Below are 9030 nucleotides of genomic sequence, written 5' to 3'. Positions count from 1 at the left end.
CTACAAGACCCCAAGAGATGGACTTTCCTCTCCCCTTCCTCCTTTTAGAAATGGCATCCTTCATCTCTGTCTAGGCAGGCCCAATTATCCAGATACTTGGGGCTCCAATAGGGTCTGAGTCATTGGAACCAGGAACACCTGGCTGAAACATGCCACATAATTAGATTTTCTTTTTCTTTACCTTTTCTTTCTTATTTTTATAAGAGGCCCGGAATTAGCCTCTTCGACTGGGGCGGAGTAGCTGGGGTGTGGGAAAGGAACACCTTCATACAACTTCCAGCTTTCAGCCCCTTGGAGAGATTTCCAAATTCCCCAGAGCCTCTAGGACTTCCTTTCCTCGATCTCTCGGCCACCTCCTCCTCCTTCTCCGATCTGTTTTTTTTTCCCTCCTCCCACTGTCTTCTCTATGGTTTAATCAAAGTTCAGCGACTCCACTTGCCTCTCCTCTCATTTCTTTCGGAAAGGGGAAACCAGACGACCCAGCGGCCACGGGACGAGTCGCCCCAACTCAACCCCAGCAGGACGCTGGAGGGGCCTCCCTTGCCCACCTCTCTTCGCTGGCACTGGCCTCCTGCACCCGGGTCTGCAGTCCCTCCGCCATCTCACAAGTGTGCAGCCGCTAGGCCTGGGGGATCCGAATGACTGGGGCTGGATAGGAATGCCTTCGTGTTTCCCAAGACCCCCGGGCCTGCTCCACAAAGTTTGAAGGGTGGGTACACCCCGACCCAGGCAAGTTACTCCCCCAAACCCATGACTGACTAATCTGATATGACAAAAGCCCATGATGGATTTGGTATATGTTAATTCACAATGCCCTTTCCTCCAGAATTTAACTATAAGTTAATACACACCGGAAACCACGCGCATGCACGCTCCTTAATGGGCTTAGGTATTAGCGAGTCCTAACGATGCATACAAATGTGCTCTGCGCTCTGTAGACCCCTCAAGATTTATGGGCCTTGAGCTCTCTGAAGCTGTAAACAAGGAGAAAAAAAAAAGAGAAAGCGAAAGCGACTGGGGGGAAGAGACAGAGGCCTGACTCGCCCCTCCAGGTTTTGGAGAGAAGGGATTCTTTATGTATTTTCCTTTCCTTGCAAGCTCGGTGCGTGTGGGTTTTGGCGTTGGTGTGGGGGTGGTGTTCTGCCTGAATGCTGGTGTGCGTGGGCAGTGTGTTGTTTGCATGCTGGGGTAGGATGCCTGCCTCTTCGGATTGCTGTGCAGGGGCCCGAACACAGCAGGCATTTGTGAGCATATATGCGTGAGTGTGCACTGTGTTAGGGTGTGTGTGTGTGTATGTGTGTGTGTGTGAGAGAGAGAGAGAGACAGGGAGAGGCAGGCTTCCCACTGGGCCAGGCTGCTGTCCCTTGAACGGTGGTGAACAAATCTCTAACGACAATCTTAATAACAATAAATAATGAATAATAATAATAAAACAGTAGTTAACAGTCCCTGCATAACAGAATAACAATAAAATGCAAGAGGAAATATTTTGAGGTGGAGACAGAAGGAGTCAGGATCACAGCATCTGAGGGGGAGATAGGAAAGGAAGGGAGGAAGACAGCTTCTTAATATGCTCTTGGTGGGGCTGGGGTTGGGAACCCCTTTCCCAGACAAGGGACGTAAGAGGAGAAGGAGAGCCAGGAGGCCACTCTTTATTGCTTTTTTTCTCAGGCTTCTGCTTTGTGTGATCAGGGAAGGGATCCCACATATGGGAATGGTTAGTGGATTTTGGGACTCTCTAGGAGCCCCTGTTTTAAGAAGGAGGCCAAATGTGCAGGCTCAGGCCAAGCAGCAGAGATGAATGAGGTGATGACCACAGCCTTGATCCGGCAGGAGCTCAGAGATGCCCGGGAAGACGGGGGGCCCGAATGGAAGCAGAAAAACACTTATGGCCGCTGGGAAGTTGGGAGAGCCAGGCTGGGACTCCGGCAGGCCCAGGGAAAGTTCCCCTTCTAGGCTCTTTATTAAAAAATTTAAAAGGAGGAGTTGAGGCGCCTTGAATTTTCCTTCGCGAGTTTGGAGACCAGCCGATTTTTCACGAAGCAAGCAAAGACCGCGGTCCCGGATCCTGCAACATATACCTCATTTTCTCCAGGTACAGTTTTCTGGTCATTTAATTGGTTTGTTTTCTTGGGGGAGATGGGAATCACAGGCGTAGAGATAGTAAGTTGGCTAGAGAGGAAGCCACCCCACAGTTTCGGGTCTAACGAAATCCCTCCTTTAAAAACATTTGTACCCCCAATAAAAATAAAATTAAAGAGGAATATAGAAACACAAATTAGCCAACTTTTTTAAAAGAGAAAAAAGAAAAGAAAATCATCGTAACAGATGAGCGTGAGAACTTCTAAAAAATTTGTCACGAACCCTTTCAGAGGTCTGGATTCTTTTTCAGTAGCCGGTGACCCATTTGGTCTGAAAAGAGAAATACACTATCCACTGAGTCACTTATTTAAAGCCAGCACACACACACACACACACACACACGCACACACACACACACACACACACACACACGCACATTCAGAAAGCCCTGGGTGCCCTCGCATTTGAAAACAACACCGGGTGGAGGACGCTGCGATACCTAATTGGACAAAACAGCAATAAAATAAGACCAGTGGAAGTGCTGAGCACAGGGCGCAGGGCTAGGGCCCAGGTTTTGTGTTCCAGGCCGAGGGCGAGGCAGCGGCCCCGGGAGATGGGGCGCCGGGCAGTCAGGCACCGGCTGGCGACTCTGCTCGGCCTCCGCAGCCCGGCCTGCAGCCCCTTACCCCCAGCCTCTGGGCCTCGTGGGCTCTCTACGCTCCGACGCCTGTTCGGGGCTTCCCTGTTGAGAGGGTTTTAGGCCGAAGGGCTGAACGACTCAAGCCAGACTCTGCTTTTTCATTTTTCTCCCTTAGGCCTCTCCACTTGCCCGAGCTCTCAGCCACCAGGAGACAGACGGAAGGGGCTTCTGGGCTGTGTTGGGAGCGGGCATTGTCCCCTACCCACTCCTGCACAGTTTCCCAAAGTCCAGCCACCTCCGACCCTCCTTGGGGGAAAAAATACCAGTACCCAGACACCTCTGCACCCTGTTATATGACTGGGCTTGCTTCAGGAATATCTTACAAAGAAGAAGGAGGAGGAGGAGGAACGGCTTGGAGTCATGTTTACATCTAGTTCTACTGATCCGTTCACATCTGGAGAGTTTATTTATAACTCCCTCTATAACTCTCTGTTTGGAGGCACTGGTGGCTCTACTGACAGACTGATGTCTAGGAAATATTGCTCTATGTCTAATGGTACCTAAATGTGCTGTGGTTGTATTTACAGATTTACGTTTGAGGGAAATATAATTATTTCCATTGTATTTGTGCATATACAGTAGTTATAGGAGCAGATTTATATATGGGAAAATATGCGACTCCCTTACAGCCATCCGGCTTTATGTACATTTGATATCCTGACAGATTTATATCTCTGAACAGCTATATAGATAAAAACGTATATTGTTAGAATTATGTATCAGGAGATATATACTTATTGATTGCGAAATAGAGTAGTTAGAGCATTCACTTAGAGCCATATATGGCTATGGAGATATTTCTATATTATTATCACTGTATATAGGCATATCTATTTATAACTGCATAGTTATAAAAATAGACATAAGTAATTATAGTCCTATATGTGCATGCTGCAATCTCTCTCTAGAGTTATAGACACTTTCAAATATAACTCTATAGAGAAATCTGTATGTATATAAGGTGTAATTATCCAGTGATGTGTTTACGTTGGGACTTAGGCCCATCTGTCTAGAACAGACACATTTATATGTAGGGGCTGGGAGAGACTTATTCACAGATATCTGCAGAGGGCCGACTGGAAACACTGTATCTGCCCTCTAGGAAACCAGCTAGGAGAGTTGTGTACTTATGGAGGGATGGAGTTACAAAAGGGTAAATAGAGCTCAGGGAGCCTTAAGGAGGGGAGGTGAATGGAGGGTGGGTGGGCTCGGTTTGAACAGATAGTGGGAGGAAAGGGGTAAACACCAGCACCCACCAGAAGGCGAGAACCAGTTTTGTGAGGGGCTGGTGCAGATGACTGTGGACAAGGAGCTTGTAAAATGAGAAGCGGCTAACAGTCCTGCCACCTCACCCTGAGACACTCTCCACCGAGGAAGCAGCCTTCAGTTTGGCTTTTAGTGCACTGTAGGATAGGGACTGTCGTGTCACTCCTGTAGTCCTAGAGCGTTTCTCTTGAACCTTAATTTTTAGGTCTTAAAGAGTGGGCTTCAGAGATAAAGAGGTTTCGGCAGGGACAGGGCGAGGAGCGTGGGGTGTACTTTCGCTTTCCAATAAGTAAGGTAATCCAGGAAAGTGAGTTAATTTGGCCAAATAAAGCTTGTTTTTATGTGGGCCTCCTGTGCCCTGGTGGGGATGTAGGATGGGACCAGAATCTGGTGGACTGAGGAGTGAATTTCCAAGTATTGGGCCTGCTCTGATGGGGGCTTGGGGAGGTTGTCCTCACCACCCGCCCTCCTTCTCTGAGGCCTGAGTGGCCTAATTCCCTCTGGGTACAGAGGGACTCCTTCAGCTCCCTAACAGTGCTGCCCTGGGTCTTTTCAGGGAGAATTTGACTTTAGGAACAGGGAACATGGACTTACCCCACTAGATCTCACTTCTCCTACTCACAGCTACACCACTCTTACGTCAGCCTCCTTCCAGGCGCCACTCGGCCAGGGGTCCACAGTTCTTCCCCTGCTACCAACCAGCCCAGTGGGGAAATACCTCCCACGACTGCCAGTTTTTGTGTTTTTGTGTGTGTGTGTGTGTTTTTTTTTTTTTTTAACCAGGAACTTACAGATTAACTTCATTAACTGCGTGAAGGAATTGTCCTGAACTCAGTCTCTGTGGCCAACCTAGCCTCCAGGATCTCTAGGATGCTAGGAAGGGAGTGGAGACCCTTGGACCAGGCTAACCACCATGTGCCATCCTCCACACACCCCTGCCCACAGGACTAGGAATTCCTGCAGTGTAGGGACTCTGTCTGCTGCCTGGCACAGAATGGTTGCCCAAACATACTTCTTGAGGTAAATGGAATGGCAGTCAATACAAAAACTCACCCTCACTCTGCACACCACCATAGCCACTGCTGGCTAGCAGGCACCCTAGCCAGGCTAGGAGATAACATGGCGGCTGGCAGCAGCTTGGGCTTTGACCGGACCGGTGGTTAGTAGGGTGGGAGAGCATCCTGAGCCTAGGATGGGGCGGGGACTGGAGCAAGGCACCTGGAATCCAGAAATTTGGGGGTAAGCCAAGGCAGACCCACCGCCCCAGTGAACTTCTGTTTTCTATCTCCAGTCTCATGGCTCCCTGGACCCCCAAAAGTTATGAAAACTAAACCAGAGCTGAGAACTGGGCTAGGATGGAATTGCCTGTCAACCCGAGGGATGCAAAGAGGAACCACCGTTGGGTCCATTAAGAAATCCACAAATAAAATAAAAATAAATCAGTGTGACACAGACCACCTGGCTGAAGGAAAGGTTTCTCTCTATGCCTCAGCCCTGCTCCAGGGCTACCAAACAGATCAGGCTTAATATTTAAAATGTTTAATAGTTAAAATTTTTTAACAATTTAACTTTAAAAAGGTCACACATTTTCTGATCCAGCAATGCCCCAATCAGATTGTTTCATTTTATTATTATTATCAACACTGTCCCCTTTTTGGCACCTGTAAAATAGTTCCTTTCGGGAGTTTGGAGCCAGGCCAGGCACCGTAGGTGCATGGGATGAGATGGGCAGGTTTGGAGCTCCTCTGTCTAGTGAGGATCACGGTCTGCAGAGAAGGGTTGGCCTCCCCGTCTCCCATCAAGGCTTAAAGCAAGGAGAACCATCCCGAATTTGGTTCCTTTTCCACTAAGTATCCTTAGAGGCGATCCACCCTGTGACTAGGTGACTAGGTGAAGGACTGAGGTCCAGAAAGGAGCTATCTTAAACCTGGAATCCCATTTCCTAGTCTGCAGCCTTAAGCAGTTTCCCTCTCAGACAACTAGCCCTCTCCTTCCTCCGCATGAAAACCCATGGCTTACAGGGATGGTTGTTGCTTTCCCTAAAGAAATTCAGGAAGGGAGATGTGAGGGTCAGTTCTCAGCGGTGGCGTTCTTTGAAGGGGACGCAGCCTGACTGCCAGGAGGGGAGGAGTCGGCCCAGCCAATGCGCATGCGCGAAGCACAAGCGGTTTCTCCCGTCACAGTGGTTCCCACGGTTGTCTTAGAAACCAGTCCCCGAGGCTTGGCAAAGGGGGAGACTTCCGTGGCAGTGCTTGGGTGTCAAGGCTCTGAGGCTCCGGCCTGACGACTCCACTGGGTCGAGGGGAAAGTCTCCGGATGCCAAGAGTCACAAAGGGCCAAACAGGGTGAGGAAACCCGACGCAGAGTCCGGAGAAGGCAGCATGGAATCCCTCCCTCAGGCCTCTCTGGACGGTGTTGGTGGGGGTGAGTCTCCCCAAAAGTCGTGACGCGGTGATCTCGAGGACAGGACGGCCTGCGTGCCCCTGGGGTGCTCTCTCACCGAAGGGTCGTTCTCGTCGAAAGCAGAACCCCACAGCCTCAGGGGTTGCCTGGGTGTGTGTCTTTCAATGCCTTTGCTATAAGACTCTGTGTGTGTGTCTGTGTGTGTATGTGTGTGTGTCTCCCATTCTCTCTTCTCTCTCTGTCTCTCAGTCTCTGTGTGTTTCTTTCCCTCTCTCTGTCGGTTTGTGTGTGTGTGCCCGTGTGCGTGTGTGTCCTTGGCCGAATGTGCCCTGTGCACCACAAAGCTGTTTCTCGCATGGCGGCCTGTCTTTGGTGAGCCTGTTTCTGCCTCTCTGCCTGGGTCATGAGACCGGTTGTCAATCCTTTTCGCCGACGCGGTTCCGCTTTGGGTGTGTGAAGGCCTGGCCCACGTGAGGAGATTCTTCAGTCCCGGAGCAATTGAAATATCCTCCCCATCCTGAACAGCCTCTTTTCTAGGATCAAGATGAACACACTGCAGACGAGGACACGAGCCCCACAGGAGCTCTTTGTCCCGCAGGAGACCAGCGGACCCACGTCAGAGAAGATGCTTGTATCTTTTCATGGCTCTTCTCTGAGAAATGAAGCCACACCACAATAAGGTCTGGAAGAGGAAGCCGGGAATGGGAGATGGCAACAGTCCCTGTCACTGGAATGCTGGCCTCTCTGGACAAGCCACCCTTTTGGAACCCCACCCCTTATGACCCTGGCAGTGGAACGGTGATATATCCTGCCTGGCCGCCGGCGTCTGCCCTGTCCTCCCTCCTGCTCTGCCTCACCTGTTTCTCAAGTGCCTCAATGCCTCTCGCTGACGCCCAATGTCTTCAACAAAGATGACTTCCCAGTCCGTCAGGGAGACATTTCTTCGAGATCCGTGTCGTGATTGTTTCTCTCTCCAAACGTGTTTCTGCTTGATTGGGCAGGTCGCATGACCTGGGAGCTCCTGGCTTCCATTCGTGTCTCAGGCAGGGAAGCTTCCTTCTTCTCCACGTTTCCCCTCATGGGTGGGTGGATTGCCTAGAATGAGCGCTAGGCGACCATGACTGGCCTTGTCTTCCAGGAAAGGTAGTGTCGCATTTCCTCTGCACTTCCTGTCTCATTCATGAGGGACATCCTCTCCTCTGCTCCTGGGTGGCCTGACTCCCTTGATCTTCTGGCCGAAACGAATGTCAGGAAACCAAAGGGACTGGGCTGGGGCTGGGGCTGGGGCTGGGGCTGGGCGCAGCTGAAGTTGCGTCAGGGCTACCAGGGCGGTGGAGGGTTGGGGGTGGGGCGAATTTTGCAGAAACCTCTTTGCTCCTCTGGTAGGCATTTGAAAACGTGGCTTGGGTCAGGCACAGGACCCCCACCCCCCCGGTCCTAGGTGTTCTTCGATTTTCCTTGGCATTGATGGAAAGGTCAACCGTTTCCCCATTCAACCGGCACATGCCTGGACACCACCCTTTGTTTCGCCGTCGCCCCGTATGCCTCCAGTGACACACATTAACACCAACTGCTGTGGGATAGGCCAGTGCCACGCGTGGTCACATGGTCTCCACCTCGGATTCGCCCCTGTTCCTCTATGCAGGTGTCCTGTAAAGCACGGTGGGCTTTCCGGAACCCCAGGGCTTTTAGAAGCGGGGCAGGCCACCGCTCTTTCAAAGGAGGAGGGAGGCAGAGGGCTGACGGATAAGTGAATTTGCAGCTGACACTAGGCCTTGAGACCTATGGGATCATTCTGCGCTGCAGCGAGGCCCTGCCTGCCTCACCAGATGTGGTGAGCCCATCCTATTTCACTCGAAGGGGGCCAAAATTGGATCTGAACAGGAGTCCGGAGAACACAGCAGGCGTCCTGAAGCTCCCCCTCCCTCGGTGGAAGTCGGCTCAAGCAGGTCCTGAGGTGAGGACTCCTCGGGGTTTGGCCCTGGGACAGGAGAAGACACCCACGGCCCCCTCTCCCACGCCGCCCTAAACTGGACCCTGGATCTAGCCGCCGCCGCGGGGCTAGCAGGAGCCTCGCTGCTGCCGCGCTCAGAGGTGGCAGTATTTAAAGGGGACACAGCCTGACTGCCAAGAACGGAGCGCGAGTCGGCTCAGCCAATGCACATGCGCGAGGCGGGAGCGGCTTCTCCAGTCACAGTGGTTCCCATGGTTGTCTTAGAAACCAGTCCCCGAGGCTTGGCGAAGAAGGAGCCCTCCGTGGCAGTGCTTGGGTTTCCGGGCTCTGAGGCTCCGGCCTAACCTCTTCTTGGGGTCAACGGGAATGTCCCCAGATGCCAGGAGTCGCAAAGGGCCGACTACCATGAGGAAAGCCCAGCGGAGACGGGGGAAGCAGCACGGGATCCCAGCCTCAGGCCTGACCGGACGGTGTTTGTTGGGGTGAGTCTCCCCAAAAGTCGTGCCTCCGTCAGTGATCTCTAGGACAGGTCGGCCTGCATGCCCCTGGGCTGCTCTCTCACCCGAGGGTCCTTCTCGTAGAGAGCAGAACATCACAGCCTCAGGGATTGCTTGGGGGTGTGTTT

At 51.9% G+C, this 9030-nt stretch overlaps 2 long non-coding RNA genes across 4 annotated transcripts; one reads left to right on the top strand and one right to left on the bottom strand.

The window, feature by feature from the left end:
- Positions 1–2006: 2006 nt before the first annotated feature.
- LOC101928906 (uncharacterized) lies at positions 2007–7398 on the top strand. Of its 3 annotated transcripts, none has more exons than XR_929671.4 (3): positions 2007–2095; positions 2898–6472; positions 6989–7398. It is a non-coding gene; the product is annotated as an uncharacterized LOC101928906 (long non-coding RNA). The 3 variants fall into 3 exon arrangements; XR_002956841.2 differs by having other exon boundaries at positions 2898–6601; XR_007061514.1 differs by having other exon boundaries at positions 2898–6601; positions 6977–7398.
- Positions 5572–7338, bottom strand: FAM27E2 (family with sequence similarity 27 member E2). Its single transcript, NR_103714.2, has one exon. It is a non-coding gene; the product is annotated as a family with sequence similarity 27 member E2 (long non-coding RNA).
- Positions 7399–9030: the final 1632 nt, after the last annotated feature.

Source organism: Homo sapiens, chromosome 9 (genome assembly GCF_000001405.40).
Source record: "Homo sapiens chromosome 9, GRCh38.p14 Primary Assembly".
NCBI lineage: Eukaryota > Metazoa > Chordata > Mammalia > Primates > Hominidae > Homo > Homo sapiens.
The sequence above is the reverse complement of the archived record's forward strand: the minus strand, read 5'-3'. Positions and strand labels throughout refer to the sequence as shown.